This window comes from Homo sapiens, chromosome 15, assembly GCF_000001405.40.
Source record: "Homo sapiens chromosome 15, GRCh38.p14 Primary Assembly".
Classification (NCBI taxonomy): domain Eukaryota; kingdom Metazoa; phylum Chordata; class Mammalia; order Primates; family Hominidae; genus Homo; species Homo sapiens.
This window is the reverse complement of record NC_000015.10, coordinates 79,842,692-79,860,141: the sequence shown is the minus strand read 5'-3', so window position 1 is coordinate 79,860,141 and position 17,450 is coordinate 79,842,692. Positions and strand designations below refer to the sequence as shown.

The following is a 17,450-nucleotide window of genomic DNA, read 5'->3' as shown; positions in this document are numbered from 1 at the left end:
CTAGGATTACAGGCGTGAGCCACCACGCCTGGCCAATTTGTATTCATTTTTAAACCTTTTTCTTAACTTTTTGTATTTTGAGGGCGAGGATACAGATGTTTTAAAATGTTATTAGTAAAGTTTATTAATGTTTTCTTTTAGGATTTTTGCCTTTGGCTTTATTTTTAGGAGTTCTTACTTCACTTGAGTTTATATAAATCATCATCATTTTATCTTAGTATTTTGTGTTTTTAAATATTAAAGTCTTAATCCTTTTTGAATTTTTATTTGAATCCCTATGTATACAGGGAGAGAAAATAAGGGTTTTTTTTTTTTTTTTTTTTTGACATGTATTCTCTCTCTGTCTTCCAGCCTGGAGTGCAGTGGCACAATCTTGGCTCACTGCAACCTCTGCCTCCTGGGTTCAAGCAATTCTTCTGCCTCAATCTCCCGAGTAGCTGGGATTACAGGCTCCCGCCATTATGCCTGGCTAATTTTTGTATTTTTAGAAGAGACGGGCCTTCACCATGTTGGCCAAGCTGGTCTCGAACTTCTGACCTCAGGTGATCTGCCCGCCTCGGCCTCCCAAAGTGCTGGGGTTACAGGCATGAGCCATTGCCCCTGGCTGAGAATATGTTTTATAAAGAAATGTTAGCCAGGTGTCCGAACACATTTAATGAGTAATCTACCCTTTCCCTACCTTTTCATGAACAAAATTCTTATATATGTTTGGGTGTGTATCTGGATGTTTTTGTCTTTTCCAAACTATCTGTGGAATCTGCCTATTTTGGCACTAGTGCCATAGTATTTTGATGAATATAGATGTATAATGGCTGTTCAATGGATTTTAATACCTGGTGGGATGAGTCCTGCCCCATTATTCTACTTTGAAAAATTTAGCTGACTATTCTAAATTTATTTTTTAAGATTAACTGTAAAAGAATTTTGTTAGTTTCTTTTCCAAAATCCCCTTGAGAGCTTGATTGGAATTGTGTTGAATTTGTAGATTAATTTGGGGGAAATGGATTTCTGTGCAATATTCAGTCTTCTTCAGGAATATGGTGTGCCTCCCCATTTATTCCAGGACTTTGCTGTGTTCCTTTGTAAATGCTTTTGCTTCTAGTCATGTTGTTACTGCACTGGTCCTGTTAAGTATATTGTTAAGTGTATTCCGGATCAGTTTATATTTGTTGTTCTTACAAATAGAAATTTGTCCATTGTGTTGTTAAGCTGGTTATTTTTGTCATATAGGAAAGCGTAGGAGCATAGGCCCAAATTTCCAAATGGAAACAGACGTTTCTGAAGTAATTTTAAAGTTATTTTCTTCACAATTTTCTTAAGTTTGATAAAATAAAATATTAGAAGATATAATTTCATAAGAAACTTGCATCTTTGATAACATGTTTTCAAAACAAAGTATTCAAGACTAGGTTTTTAAAGGCTATTTATGAGATGGATTGAATAGTTTTCTTAATTTCCAGCAGATGTCAGTGTTTTACAAATTTATTGTTAGTCCACAGAGACAGATTTGTCTTCAGTCTCCCAATTTCTGTATCCTTTAGTTATTTAATTGGCACATAGGGGATTATCTGAATTGGAAGGGATTTGAAGATCATCTAAGTCAGTTTTTCATTTTGTAGATAAGAGAACAGGCCTAGGTGGGAAATGACTTGTCCGAAGTCACACAAACAGAGGAGGGCTAAAACCCAGGTGTTCTTGTTTCCAAAAGACTTTTCCTTTCTGAAAGACTCATCCTTTCGTGGTTGATACAATAGGCCACCTCCCTAGTGAGGTTTTCCTGTGTTTAACTCCCTTCTCAAGGGAATACAACTTCCTTCCTTTGTACCTATTACCTTGGAACTTACATTATTCTACCCCTTATTACTATTATTTAATAATCTCTTTACAGACAACTGATTAGATGCATTTTTAGCTGACCAGGTTGTTAGGTCCTAGAGGGCATGAATAGTAACTTATCTCTGTGTTATCTGTAGTTCCTTGGGCAGGGCCTTCCATAAAGTGAGTCATTAGTAATGACTATTGATTTGAATCCATTAAATTTTGATTCAAACTTTTTTCTGCTCTTTTCCTGTAAAGCTGTTTTAGAAGGTTTTAGAGAGGATTATGTTTTTTTTTTTTTTTTTTTTGAGATGGAGTCTCGCTCTGTCACCCAGGCTGGAGTGCAGTGGCGCAATCTTGGCCCACTGCAACCTCTGCCTCCTGGGTTCAAGCAATTCTCCTGTCTCAGCCTCTTGAGTAACTGGGATTACAGGCACGCGCCACCATGCCCAGCTAATTTTTGTATTTTTAGTAGAGACGGGGGTTTCACCGTGTTGGTCAGACTGGTCTCGAACTCCTGACCTCGTGATCTGTCTTGGCCTCCCAAAGTGCTGGGATTACAGGCGTGAGCCACTGTGCCCAGCCGGATTTTGGGTTTTAAGAGCAAGTTTCTCCCCCACCAGAAGAGGACTTATTGAAGCAGATAACAAGGCTAGTTGCAGTGAAAAGGCACTTGGAACTAACTGGAAAAGCACATTATATAAAATCCATGTACTATTATTTCAAAGTAATAGGTTACTTTATCATAGACTTGCTGTAATAGAATTTGTTCTAGATGGCACAAGGCTCATATTAGCTGGGCTATGAGTCCTCTTAGGCATGCAAGAAGAGAGCAAGCTGAAGAAATATAATGTACTGTGTAATTTTATTTTAGTTAAATATACTGAACCAGAGAGGTTGCAGGACTTTCAAGTGCTCATTTAACAGTTCAGTAAAAAAATGGTGAAAGACAGGAAGAAGTTTCCATTTTACTAAACTCTTAAGGCTTGGAAATCATACTGTGCAATAATTAATTAAGAATAGTGGGCCAGGCACGGTGGCTCATGCCTGTAATCGCAGCACTTTGGGAGGCCGAGGTGAGTGGATCACCTGAGGATCAGGAGTTCGAGACCAGCCTGGCCAACATGATGAAACCCCATCTCTACTAAAAAAATATAAAAATTAGCTGGGCGTGGTGGTGCATGCCTGTAATCCCAGCTACTTGGGAGGCTGAGGCAGGAGAATGGCTTGAACCCGGGAGGCGGAGGTTGCAGTGAGCCGAGATCGTGCTACTGTACTCCAGCCTGGGCAACAAGAGCGAAACTCTGTCTCAAAAAAAAAAAAAAAGTGACTTTGCGAGCTCATCTTCTAAAAACTGAGAAAAATAGAAATAGCTCCAAAACACCGTTGTATTTCTGTATCTGAAGAAATTGTTCTTCACTGCTTTTAAGAGTAAGCTAGACTTTTTTTTCTTGAGTACACCCTCACATGAATGTGAGCATAGGATGGACTGCCCTCTAGACTCTTCCCTAAATGCCTAATTTCTTTCTTTCTTTCTTTCTTTTTTTGTTGTGGTAAGGAAACACATAACAAAATTTACCATCTTAACCATTTTAAAGGTACAGTTCAGGAGTGTTAAGTATATTCACATTGCTGTGCAACAGATCTCCAGAATTTTTCATATTGCATATCTGAAAATCTATACCCATTAAACAGTTCTTCTTTCCCCCCTTTCTTCAGCCTCTGGTAACCACCATTCTACTTTCTGATTCTATGGGTTTGACTGCTTTCAAGACTTCATTTAATTAGGATCATATAATGTTTGTTTTTTTGTGTGTGTGACTGACTTAATTTATTTCTTGATTGAATCACACAGATAAACAAGGTATTGTCCTTAAATTCTCAGAGTCACTAAGCTTTGATTCTAAAGAGATCTGAGATATTGAATCTATAAATAACTTAAATTTACAAGAAGAAAACAAACACATTAAAAAAGTAGGCAAAGACATGTGCAGATACTTTTCGAAAGAAGACATATACATGGCCAAGAAGCATATGAAAAAATGCTGAAATTTTTTCATCATAAGAGAAATACAAGTCAAAACCACAGTGAGCTACCATCTCATACCAGTCAGAATGGCTATTGGTAAAAAGTCAAAAAATAACAAATGCTGGTGAGATTGTGGAGAAAAGGGAACGCTTATGCATTGCTGGTGGAAGTGTAAATTAGTTCAGCCATTGTGGGAAGCAACGTGATGATCCCACAAAGAACTAAAGACAGAATTACCATTCGACCCAGCAATCCCAGTATTGAGTCTATACTCAAAGGAATATAAATCGTTCAACCATAAAGACACATACTCACATATGTTCATTGCAGGACTATTCATAATAGCAAAGACATGGAATCAGCCTAAATGCCCATCAATAGTGGACTGAATAAAGAAAATATGGTACATATATACTATAGAATATTATGCAGTTATAAAAAAGAGTGAGATCATGTCCTTTGCGGCAACATGGTTGGAGCTGGAGGGTATTATCCTAAGCAAACCAACAGAAGAACAGAAAACCAAATACTGCGTGTTCTCACTTATAAGTGGGAGCTAAATGATGAGAACACATGGAAGAAAGAGGGGAACAGCAGACACTGAGGCCTCCTTGAGGATGGGGAGTGGGAGAAGGGAAAGGATCAGAAAAAGTACCTATTGGGTACTATACTTAGTACCTGGGTGATGAAATAATCTGTACACCAAACCCCTGTGACATGAGTTTACTTGTATAACAAACCTGCACATGTACCCCTGAACCTAAAATGAAAGTTAATAAAAAAGTTATTGAAAAGTTCCATCCACCCATTTTACAGATGAGTAAAATCAGACAAGCAGAGGTTGCCTACAGTTAGTGAAAAATAATAGGAAGTTCTAATGTCTTCTCTGTTTCATTTTTAGGTCCATCTGATTATCAACAACTCAGATGCCAAATAAATATAATATTTAGAAATGCCATTTATATTAAGCTACTGCTGATGTGGATCCTATTTTCTGCAGAGCATTTTTACATATCTGCAGTAAAGAGAGTTTAAATTATATTTTTTTCCAGTAAGTTTTATTTTTGTCAGTATCTGCTAAGATAGGATAAGCTGATGTATAGATTTTTTTTTGTTAAAAACCTTATGGCAGAAGCTGTAAAGTAGGGATTGGCAGGGTGCTTTTTCTGCAGAGGGCCAGATAGTAAATATCTGGGGCTTTGTAGTCCATACAGTGTCTGTTGCAGTGATTCAATTCTGCTGTTTTAGTGTGAAGACAGAGCATGGCTGTGTCCTATTGAAACTTTATGTACAAAATCATACAGTGGACCAGATTTGACTTGCAGGCTATAGTTTGCAAACCCCAGTGGTAAAGTATTGGGACACCATTCCCACTTTTCAGTCTGCAGCAACCTAGCTTGCTTCTTTCATATACAATTGTAGTTGTTTATGGTGATGGTGATGATGATGTTGATTAAGAAAATAATGTAAATCAAATTACTATTATCTGTTGACATGATTTTAGAGTTATTTTCTAGACAACGTAGTAGGCTTAAGATATAAAAAACATACTTAAGAAAATAGCATGTTTGAAGTACCTCTTCAAAAAGAAGACTGGAAATTTTTCTGCATATTGTTAAAAATATTTTTTTCTAAAGGAAAATAGCTTTGTTCTTATAAAGATAAGACATAAAGAATAAATTAAAAATAAGCCCAAATCTCCAAGCCAGGAGTAACCACTGATAATAACCATATTTTGGTCTTTTGCTAGGTGATTTTGGTTGGCCACCTCTAGATCCACTGTCTATCTTTTCTACTTGCTTAGTGGCAAGGAAGACCAGCCTCTGTGGACTACATCAGCAGGCAGCAATGAAGACCAGAGGCTGCAGGGTGTTACCCCTCGCCCCCAGTGCACATCCACACTCCAGTCAGGCAGCCTTCTCATCGCAGCTATGCGGGTTCTTATAACCATGCCCTCCCCAGCCCTTCCCCTTGCACCTTCAGGCCAAGTTGTTGGTACAGTCAGCTACCCCAGGGACTGTACCATCTCTCTTGCTTTCTCTAAGCATCTCCATCTCTTTATTAATCTTTTCTAGTTTCCCTAGTTTGAGTGTGCCTTCTGTCCCTCACCATGGCCCTGACCTGACTGGTACAGACGCTGCATCCAGTTTGACTGATTCCACCACCAAGGCAAATAAGCAGCGCTCTCCCTGTCTGCTTTAATTTCGTAGGGAAAGAACAAAGAGCTTCCACACTTCACTAGAGCTACACTACCATTCACATTCCCAGGCCTGCATTTCCTAGCTGTATGACTTTGGGCAAATTACATCATCTTGTTGGGAAGATTAAATTAAGTCATGTTTGCAAAGAGCTTAGCACAGTGTCTAGCACACAGCTGAATGTGCTGAAAGAAATTATAAAAGAGCAACTTCATTTTTCTTGGTTTGTAAACAGATACACCTCAAAGGAGCCTTTTAAAGAGAAAGGCTATTTCTAACAGAGGAATGCTTTCCTATCACACGTGTTTCGGAGACTGTATTTCAGTGAGCCATCACGGCTCCTGCTCTGCCTAAGGCTTGAGCAGTTTCTTACGGACCGCTCTGCATGTTTCTAGCTGACAGGAGGTGGCAGTAGAGAGCTAGGCCCACCCTTGCACATGGTTTGGGCTGATAGGAAATCTGCATGATAGCTCTTGTAGTGTTAGTATTATGACTCAAGAAATAACTTTCAGAGTCAACAGAAGGAGGATAGGCATTATTCATATCCCCAAGTATAATACAGCTAGAATTTATTGAACACTTACTAGAGTTTTATCTCCTTTATTTAGTCCCTCTAAAATAGCATTATTTTTATCTGAAGAAGAAATTGGGTTTCAAAGAGAATTTCAGTAACTTTACTAATGTTTCTTAGCTAGTAATGGTTGTTATGGGATTCAAACCTGGGCAGTCTCTGTAAAAGCCTGCACAGATAACTGCTGTGCAGGACTGCCTCCAAGGCTCTTGTCCTTGATGTTTGTGTTTAAAAAATATAAGGATGATATTTTTTAAAATTTGGTTCCATATGCACATGATAAAAATGTAAACCATATAGAAGAGTACTATGAAAGTGTAAAATAGTCTTCTCATCCAAGTCTCCTGTTCTTTAATACTTTGTTTCAGAGGTAGCCACTCTTCTTTCGTATCCTTCCTGAGATATCCTTATAGGGGTGAACCTGTATTATGGGTAGAAGGATTGGTTTCTATAACCCATTTTATCTTGACTCCTGGCCTCTTGTCCTTGATATTTTTCTAGGCTCTTTGGATTAGGTAGGAGGAAAGTGCTGCTGTGAGATCTTCAGCAGCCAAGTCACTAAATATTATCCACATTTCTTATTAGCTTTTTCAGCTTTACTTAGAAGAGTCTAAATTCCTGTCACCTCCTGCTTCCTTCATTTAAACACATAGTGTTCATAAGATTGAGTGAAAGCCTTGAACCCATAATACACTTGGGTTTTAAATATAAGATGCACACAGATTGTCTTATATTCTGAATACCTCAGTAACTGATTAGCAGAATGACCCGTGTCATCCAGGGATACTAGGAGAAGGGCCACCTTACATGGTGTTGGTACTTATTTCTAATGCTTTTGTGACAAATATGGTCGCTGTATTCTGGTGCAAATGTTAGTATCTGTGTTAAAAGAAAGAATTTTATAGTAAGAATGCAGAAGTGATCAATTATGGTGGTCATGTCTTTAATAGATGATTCTCACTACGGTGTGTTTGATTCAGTGTGAATATTCCCAGATGGCCAAAATAGGTTGTGACCATTCATAGCAGAAAGAGTGAAGGTATGTTTACAATGTAATTTTTAAAAATTAACAGTCTATAATAATAGGTGGCTCAGTTAACTCCTCCTTAAGTATGTTATAGATTTGCAGGGAACCATGTTTTTTAAAAACCCAATTTTTGTATATAATCAGAAGTTGAATATATTTTATTACTGCAGTCATGTAAATGGTTTTGTTTATTGCCTTGTATGTGCTGTACTGTTTTATATGAAGAGTGATTCAAGGAGGTTGTGCTTCAGTCTGTTCTTTCTAAGGCAATCATAATGAGTTCAAAACATATGGTATTGATTTTTGACAGTTCTGCCTCAAGAGCTATCATGAATTATTGGTTCTGTATTTTATTTTAGGATTTCAGCTTCTTCATGTTTTAGAAGCATGTTTGATGGAAGTACCTGTGTCTCTCTGTAATCAGCCACGTGGCCTGAGGAGTAGGCATGCAGCAGTTGATTAAGTTGACATTTGGTATTAATAGCTTAGAGACTCTTTACATCATAATATGCTTATCCATTCTAGATTTTAGGTGAAGGTAATTTTGATGATGTTTCATAGCTAATAAGTGGTAGTGCTGGATTCAGACCCAGGCAGCCTGTCTAGAATCCTACACACTTAACCCCTCTCCTGTACTACCTCTAAGATGCTTGGCCTTGTTGTGTTTCCTCCATACCTTTACTTAATCTCATTTGTATCTTTTGGTAATAGGAACCATGTATATTATCCATCTGGAACAGCAAGCCCTCAGCTTCACCTCTTATGAGCTGAGTCTCTTATGAGTTGAATGACTTTAGGGAGTAATTTGACCTCTCTGAGCATCAGTTTATTCTTTTGTGAAATGGGGATAATAGTTCCCACCCTCCTGCCTCCCTAGGTAGATGTACTGACCAGCTGGTTTTATTCATCCTTCTCTTTCCAGGATATGGCATCTTGGCTGACACATCGTAGGCGCTTTACAAATGTTAGTTTCTGTGCTCTCCTTCTCTTCTAGAAGCAGGACTTTGGTTAAGAGTTAGGTATCTCACAGGATAATCTGAACAAGTCACTCCTTGGATATAGTCAGGAAGCTAAAATAAATACAGCAAGGGGACTACTCATTATATCCCTTATATCCTTCACTGTCATTCTTTTTTTCACGGTAAACAGAACTGAGCTCAAATTCTCTGGGGAAAGACAAAAGCTCTGTTCCTAGAAGGAAGGGAGAAGGATTCCTACTACTTAATGGACCACAGGCATTCTTACAGTATAGGATAAGAGCTGGTCACACCAAACTGCATGGACTGGGAGGACTCAATGGAAGTTTAAGATTTGTGATATTATGATTGTTATGATAAATAAGTTAACAAAAAGAGTAGAAAACCCTTACAGGAATGAAAAACAATGTCGCAGGAGCAAAGGTGTGCAGATAGGAAGGTGCCCACATACCTCTTGGGCTCTAACACTTATTTTCAGCCTTCTTTTCAGTATTACAGTAAAGACAGTCCACTAGCTGAACTGATTATATTCTGAAAAGCTCAGGACAGGGAGTCTGAGTTCAGGACATCTTAGGAGGTGTCAGGGGCCCAGGCTACCTCGCTGCCAGAATTAATAAGAATGTTTTGTACGGTGAACTGAATCCTCAGAGCCTAATACTTCTGTCTCAGGAAGTAGAGGCATTTATAGAATCTTACTTCTTCATTTTTTTTCGAGGCCTACTACCTAGGCTTTTTTCCTGGTCAACGAAGATTCTGCAGCTCAGCATCTGTCCCCATCTCTCCACTTATATTATCCTTGCCCCGGTGATTCCCTAGTTGCCAAATCTAATAGATATTTTTGTGTCCTTACCTTACTTGTCCATTCTGCCACATTTGACACTGCGTCTACTTCTCTCTCCCTGAAACTCTCTTTCCTTATGTTCTATGATGGGGGTTATCACATTGCAGCCCCACAGGCCAAATCTGGCCCTCCACCTGTTTTTGTAAATAACATGTTATCAGGACACAGCCACACTCATTCATTTACATTTGTCTTTGGCTGCTTTCATACTACACAGCAGAGTTATGTTCTAACAGAGACCCTAAGGCCTGCAAAGCCTAAATTATTTACTCTCTGGTCTTTTGTAGGAAAAATGTGCTAATCTGCATTCTATAACCTCATTCTCCCCTGGTTTTCTTCCTCTTTTTTTGGCTCTGCTGAACCCCTTTGCTGAGAGAACATGTAAGAGCCAGTTCTAAGGTAAGATTGTAAAAGCTCTGGTCAAAAAATACTTGAAATATTGGAGAAACTATACCCCTTTCCCTGCTACCTGGTTCAAGAAATAGTGCCTGAGATTTCTTTTTAAAAAAATAGAAAGGTATCCTAATAAATACAATTGTTGTGAACAGATATGTTGCATTATCTAATACAGTTTTCATGACCAGCTCCATTTTACGGATGAGAAAACAAATGGAAGCACAGAGATTGCAGTAGCTTTCCTATGATCACACAGCTAAGAAATAGCCTGAGGGCCCATGCCCCTAATCACCACATCAGACTGCCTCCAGAGGGCACTGCTGTTTCAGAGCCAGCACCAAATGAAAAGACGGAAGATGTTTTTGAGCAAATAAATGCAGTATGTGGGGTTGGGTGAGTTTTCCAAAGGTTAGCTTTGTAGTTTTGGAATGCAAGATCACATTGGAAAGGTAGCGAAGCCTGGAGAAAAACACTCAACAAACCATGACTCTGCAGAACAATCTTATGACATCTAGAGAGCTCTGTGCCCACTAACACAGAATGTGAAGCAAGTGCACACAGGATTAAAATCAGAGCAGGTTGGCTCTTGCACATTGCACTGTCAGTGGACGCTATTAATGAGTCTTTGGCGATTTGAAAACAGAGCAATGCCAGAGGCATATGCAGAACTGTGCACGGACTAAGGTTTTTCTTCTGTCTCCCCTATTGAATTCTGACCTTGTGGTGTGTGAAGGTGTCTCTGGTGTCTACCTCTATTAGTGGGACCAGTGTGTGTGAGGGAAGCTTGTTGAGCCTCTGCATGATTTTTAAGCCCCACTGAGCTGTCACCTTTGAGGAGGAAAAACATCCAGCATAGTGTTCCCAAAGTGTGAGGAGCCCCAGGGGTGTGTGTGGGGTGGGTGATGCATGTGGGGATGGTGGTAAGGCACAGGAAGAGCTTCAAGGATGACAACAAATAAAGTCAAGCAAAGAATACATGATGTGTTTCAGGGAAAACACTTGGATTTAACAAGTAGCAGAAGTGGGAGAAGACTAGGAAGTATATCTTAAGGACCTGAGGCCAGGAGCAACCTGTGATCCCCGTGGTTGAAGGGAGCAGCAGGAACAGTTCTGTGGGCAGGGCTACAACAACAACACCGCATGTACGATGTAAGGACCTCCACCTAGGAAGGGCTGTTTCCGAGCCTTAGTTACCTGGGAATCCAAAACCATTCTCGTCTTGCTTCTCAAGTGTAAAACTCATTTTGAAAAAGCAGCCATACAAAGTTATATTTTTATTATTTTATTTTATTTTTTTGCCTCTTTGAGCCAAATTTATGTACTTCGGAATTATTAAAATAGAGGATGTCATGCTAGGATTGATCCATTCTGCAGGCAAAATATTCATTTTTCAGGGTTTCTTTGGCCTAAAATTCTATTAAAATCCAAGGATGAAAGAGGAATTGGAAAAATTATGGCCCTCAAAGAAATTTTCTGTCCAGTGAGGGAGACAGAGACGTGTACCATCAACTGTGGTACAAGGTAGACTTCAGTGAGAGCTGTGATCAAAGTACAGGGAGTAACAAGAAAAGAGGGAGTAGATTAACTCTCGCTCAAGGGATTTGAGAACGTTGTTTTCTTATCTCTGTTTCATTTCTTCATTCTTTTCCTCCAACTACCTAAATGTGGATGTTCCAAACTTCTGCCTTTTCTTTCTTGTGTATTGTATCTGGTGGGAATCCTGACTATTCTCTTGGCTTCTCTTTTGGTCTCTTTGCTTTTTTAAATTTTTTATTGTGGTAAATAACATATAATGTGAGATCTACCCTCCTAAAAGTTGTAAGTGTCTGGGAAAGTATTGTTAACTGTAAGCACAGTTGTACAGCAGATCTCTAGAACTTTTTCATCTTCCATGAATGAAACTCTGTATCCATTGAATGGCAACTCTCTGTCTCCCCCTTTCTCCTGCGCCTGGTAACCATCATTCTACATTCTGTTCCTAAGATTTTGACTACTCTAGATACCACATGTAAGTGGCATCATAAAGTATTTGTCTTTTTGTGGCTGACTTATTTCACTTGGCATAATATCTTCCAGGCTTATCCATGGGTTGCATATTGCAGAATTTCCTTCTTTGATATGGCTGAATAATATTCATTGAATGTATGTACCACATTTGGTTTGTTCGTTCATCCATCGATGCATACTTGTTTCCATATCTTGGCACTTGGGAATAATGGTGCAATGAACGTGGGAGTGCAAATATCTCTTTAAGACCCTGACTTCAATCCTTTTGGATAAATACCCAGAAGTGGGATTGCTGGGCCATATGGTAGTTCTACTTTTAATTTGTTGAGGAACCCATATACTCTTTTCTTTAATGGCTGCATTATTTTACACCCCCACCAGCAGTGTACAAGGGTTCTGATTTCTCCACATCCTTGCCAACATTTGTGGTTTTCTATTTTTTGGATATTGGACATCCTCATGAATGTGGGGTGGTATTTCATTGAAGTTTTGATTTGTATTTCCCTGATGATCAGTGATGTTGAGTATATTTTCATATGCCTGTTGGCCATTTGTATGTCTTCTTTGGACAAATGTCTGTTTAAGTCTTTTTTTTTTTTTTTTTTTTTGAGACGGAGTCTCACTCTGTCGCCCAGGCTGGAGTGCAGTGGCGCAATAGCTCCACCTCCCGGGTTCACACCATTCTCCTGTCTCAGCCTCCCGAGTAGCTGGGACTACAGGCGCCCTCCACCATGCCTGGCTAATATTTTGTATTTTTAGTAGAGACGGGATTTCACCATGTTAGCCAGGATGATCTCTGTCTTCTGACCTCATGATCCGCCCGCCTCTGCCTCCCAAAGTGCTGGGATTGCAAGCATGAGCCACCGTGCCCATCCTGTTTAAGTCTTTTGCCCAGTTTTTAATTGGGTTATTTGGTTTTTTGCTGTTGTGTTCTAGGGGGTCTCTGTGCCTTTGACCCCAAATCTCCATGCCTGTACCTGGTGAACTCTACACTCATGTCTTCTGCTACTCCTCAGGTTGATCCTTCTGTCCAAGCGAGTAAACTGCTCCCCACTCCCTACTCCCTCACTCAGCTCTTGCCACCTTTCTTTTGGTTTCTGAAAGATACTTAGACCCAACTCTGACACATCTTAAAAATCCAGGTCAAGTTGAGTTTTCCATGAATTCTTCCCTGACCACCCAGCGTTTGCTCTCCCCCTGCTGGGGTCTCTAGTATTTGTCCCTGTTGCTTTTGGGGCATTTGGCAGAGACTGCTGCCGTGCATTGGAATGGAAATTACATGCGGTTATATTTTGTACTAACTGAACTGCCATTTCATGAAGGGAAGAGACTGTGTGTCCTCCAGAGGACCTTACAGAGCACCTTGCCATACTGTAAAGAGGCAGGAATCCTTAGAAAGGTTTGCGCATTGTGTGTTCTAGGTATAGAAGACAGAACTGAACTTCAAGCCTGATGGTGCTCTGGCAACAGAAAGAGGACACGAGGGAGTAAAGTCCAAATTCACAGTCCACTGTCAATCCCAAGAGGGACAAATGAGCTGGACAGGAACAGGGAGGAAAGACAGAGGTCAGTGACCAGGACCTTTTTAGAAAGTTGGGATTGGAATAGACAAGGAGGTTTACAGGGGAAGGTCATTACTGTAATCTGAGGCATGCTTTGCTGGATTTTGGCAGGCAGGGGTGACCAGGTGTATGCTGGGAGCTAGAGAGAAGCTGAGTTCACCTCACAGTTCTGCAGGTAGTCAGAATATCTGCTGATAGTGGGGGCTAGCCATGTTGGCAGTCTGATCCTCTCTACTCTGAACATGCTGTTCTGGAGAATTCATGGCTTCCAACCCTGGTATATCTTGCCAGCAAATGCTATATGAATGGTTATTCCACAACTAAGCTATAGGTCACCCAGAAACCCCCAGGACAGCTGTCAGGAGGCCAAGACTCAGTATAAGGAGGCTACAGGGCAGACTACTGGGTTTGACATGTAATGTGGCTCTTATGCTGACACTGGTACCCCATGTTTCTTGCCAGAGGCTGGAGTACCATTCCCTCATGGAGGTTCTTCACCTAGTGACCTTCATTGCCATCTTCATGGGAATCCCCACACACCCTTACTGCAGTTGGGTTTTTATAGCCTCCAGGACCCTGCCTCCCACCCTGAGCTCCAGCATTCTGTCCTGATAATGTCATAGCCAGTTCTGGTCTTCGTGTTACTTGAGAGGGTTGTAGCCAGAGAACTAGTTGTGGGTCCCCATCTTGTACCTTTCCTTGAGTAGGTCAAAGCCTGCTCTCACACGAGTCTGGGGAAGCCCGGCAGCCTGGCCTTGCCTCTCCAATGGGAGGGGAAATGAGGAGGGAGTAGGCTGTCTGAACTGCTTGGTATGCCTGACAGTGGACTCTCTTTCTGCTCACTGACCCTGAGAAACAGCTTTGTCCTTTATGGCTCCTCCTTGACTGTTTCCCGCCCTCCAACTGTCATTATCCTGGGGTATTGATTTCCAAACCTGACAGGTATGGAGAATCACCAGGATGCTAGAAAAAAGAGGGCCCTATCTCTGGAGATTCTCTGTATTTAACTAGTTATGAATGAGGCCTGGGAATCTGGCACTTTTGTACAGATATATGTAAAAGATCTGTTGAGGATGAATAAGAGACTTAACTAAGTTGCTGAGTACGTTTTATTTCCTTTTTTGTCCAACTCTGTGCTTTTTGGATATTAATGGTCACACATTGTTTTTAGAAATCAGAGAAAGAATTGATGTCATTACAAAACAAAAAACACATCCTGAAATGATCTTTCAGAAACAATTAATCCTCTTAAATTTGTTCCTCTTTTCCGCAGGGGGACTTGATCTCATCTTCATGCCAGGCCTTGGGTTTGACAAACATGGCAACCGACTGGGGAGGGGCAAGGGCTACTATGATGCCTATCTGAAGCGCTGTTTGCAGCATCAGGAAGTGAAGCCCTACACCCTGGCGTTGGCTTTCAAAGAACAGATTTGCCTCCAGGTCCCAGTGAATGAAAACGACATGAAGGTAGATGAAGTCCTTTACGAAGACTCGTCAACAGCTTAAATCTGGATTACTACAGCCAAATAATCAGTGTTTTATATGAGAGTAAAGCAAAGTATGTGTATTTTTCCCTTGTCAAAAATTAGTTGAAATTGTTCATTAATGTGAATACAGACTGCATTTTAAAATTGTAATTATGAAATACCTTATATAAAACCATCTTTAAAAACCAATAGAAGTGTGAATAGTAGAATATTAATTAAAATGGAGGCTATCAGCCTGTGATTTTCAGCTTAACTTCCTGGTGTTAATGTGACAAGTTGATCTGTCTACTTTGCAATTTAAGTTAAATATTTATGAGGAACTGTGCTCCGACTGAGTGCGAGAGGAAGGTAAACTTGCGGGAGTGGGCACTGTATTTCATTACGCCTTTCATGACCTGGTCTGTCCTGGCAGGCACATGGAGACTTGGGGACTATTAATTTATTTGTTGGTATTTGCTTTGGATACAGAATTCCCTAAGAATATTATCTCACTTCATCATGACTTCCTTTACCCACTCTAGAATTTTATGTTGGACACTTTGTAGCTTTTGGTGGTTAGTGGAGGGAAACCTTTTATGATTTAAATACTTTTACTCCACTGATTGGTTACCATCACTGCATGTATCAGCCCTTGATGAGTTTAAGATCTAGTATCTTATAAGTTAGAAATTATTTCTGTTTACTCATGGTTTCTGCTTTGGAAATGAAATTTGCTGTGAGTTGAAAGTTGGCAGATGGCAACACAGCTAGGGAGCAATAATTTTGTTGTGGGGAGGATTTGGTCATCTCCAGAAACCCGGGAGTCACGTGGCTCTCTTACTCACACTCCATGTCCATCCTGTCACCAGGTCTTGTTGATTTTGCCTCTGAAATGCCTCTTAAATCTATTCTCTCCTTTCAATTTTCCTGTCACTCCTTTTGTCCAGCCTTTTAGCATTTCTAAGCTGGACTAGGCGAGAGTGTCACACCTGCTTCCCTTGGCTTCCATCTTGCCTCTTCCAGTTTATTTCTCAAGCTGCAGTCAAACTGATCTTAGAAAACACGAATCTAATCATGCAGCACCCCTGACTAAGGTCTTCCGGTGGCTGTTCAGAGCCTCTTGGGTAGCAAACAGATGGCTTCTGTTGTATACAAAGCCCCTTAAGAGAGGTCTCCTCATCTACTTTTTCTAGCCTCTTCTCTCCCAACTCTGTATTCTCCTGTAACACTGACTGAGCACTGCAGGCTTCTGCCCTTTGCACATAGTAAGCATGCATTTCTCTCTGTCTGAAATGCTCTTTCTGTTGTTCATCTAGAAGACTGTTTTCCCTTGAAGACTCAGCCCTAGCATCACCTCTTCTGTGAAGTCTTCTGCTACTTTCCCAAGCAGAGTGAGTGTTCCTTCCCTTGTCTGAGTGGCCTTGGCCATTGATGTGCTTATCATGTTGTCTTACGTATCAAATTATTTGTTGTCATATCTGTCCCCTTCACCATACTGTGAGCTCCAAAGAAAAGAAGTGATCTTTATACTTCTTATGCTTAGTACACAACTAGACATATAGTGTGTGTGTGAGAGAGAGAATTTTTTAATGAAATAATTGAATACATTGGAAGTGTTTCATTCAAAATACTCATCCATTATTCTTTGGATAGTAGCATAAATTTGATGTTTTATGTACAAAAGTAAAAACATTTGAAAAATATCAGGCTGAATATGGGTTTGTACAATATAATATGTATGATGAGGAAAGGGAAGGAAACTGAATTCTCAGAAGCTATGAAGTCACATTATTGTACTGGTTAAAAATATTGTTAAGTATTATTTCGACTATAAGGTTAAAGTGAATGTTAATGTAGCTGACATGACTGTTGGTGTGAAATGGTAGAGCAGTAAAATTCCTGACCTGCTGCAGGTCTAGAAAGTTTGGCATTGTTGAACTTAGTCTATGTTATTCTTCTGTTAAATGAGAGCATTTAAAAACCACTCTACCAGCTCCTCAAGTGCAGACAGAATGCCGAGTTAACTGGCCAGAAAATGCAGGGTGCTGAGATTCAGGAAAGTCAGAGGGCCACAGGATCTCGGCCTGAAAAGAGAAGCACTCCCTAGTGATCACTAATGCACAGTAGTCTTTGTGCAGGGATATTGGAAGGGAGAAAATGCCCCTATGATGTAGGTGATTACAACACTGTAACTCTGATTAGGGCATACACAGAGGCTGAAGACAAGGCCTTAGACTCAGGAGGCAAGCACTTCAGTAGAGGCTAACATGAAGCAAGAATGATGAGCGTCTCAGATGAGGGGACAATCTGAGTAGAAGAGAAATAGCAACTAGATCTGCACAAAAACAATTTCAAATATTGGGAAATTGGAAATATATCAGGGCCCCAACATAGGTCTGTGTTTGCTGTATGTACTATAGAACTGTGCTTAATTTAATTAGAAAGTAAACTATATAAAGTTCTAGTCAAGAGCATTATACACTTAATCACAAAGTCTTACTAACTAGGAGATTGATAAATGTGACTAGGCGTGAGTGTCTTGCTGCAGACAGTTCCTG

General features: G+C 40.1%; 2 protein-coding genes across 4 annotated transcripts in view, besides 1 other annotated feature; both read left to right on the top strand.

Moving 5' to 3' along the window:
• Nucleotides 1–16,595, top strand: part of ST20-MTHFS (ST20-MTHFS readthrough) — a 79,546-nt gene extending 62,951 nt beyond the window's left edge. Inside the window, exon 4 of the mRNA NM_001199760.2 lies at nt 14,700–16,595. Coding sequence (NP_001186689.1) covers nt 14,700–14,932 — 233 coding nt within the window. The 3' untranslated portion in view covers nt 14,933–16,595. The remainder of the gene's footprint in view (nt 1–14,699) is intronic.
• MTHFS (methenyltetrahydrofolate synthetase) overlaps nt 1–16,595 on the top strand; it is a 53,739-nt gene extending 37,144 nt beyond the window's left edge. For all 3 annotated transcript variants that reach the window (NR_037654.2, NM_001199758.1, NM_006441.4), the window contains exon 3: nt 14,700–16,595. Coding sequence is in view for 2 of the 3 variants with exons in the window: in NM_001199758.1 (NP_001186687.1) it covers nt 14,700–14,932 (233 nt within the window). In the remaining variant the exon portion in view is untranslated. The remainder of the gene's footprint in view (nt 1–14,699) is intronic.
• Nucleotides 5,934–6,435: an enhancer, noted in NCBI's record as "H3K27ac hESC enhancer chr15:80146049-80146550 (GRCh37/hg19 assembly coordinates)". NCBI's record gives its function as "activates a minimal SCP1, AML or CMV promoter by ChIP-STARR-seq in primed H9 embryonic stem cells {active_cell/tissue: H9 hESC(primed)}" and the evidence as "EXISTENCE:reporter gene assay evidence [ECO:0000049][PMID:30033119]".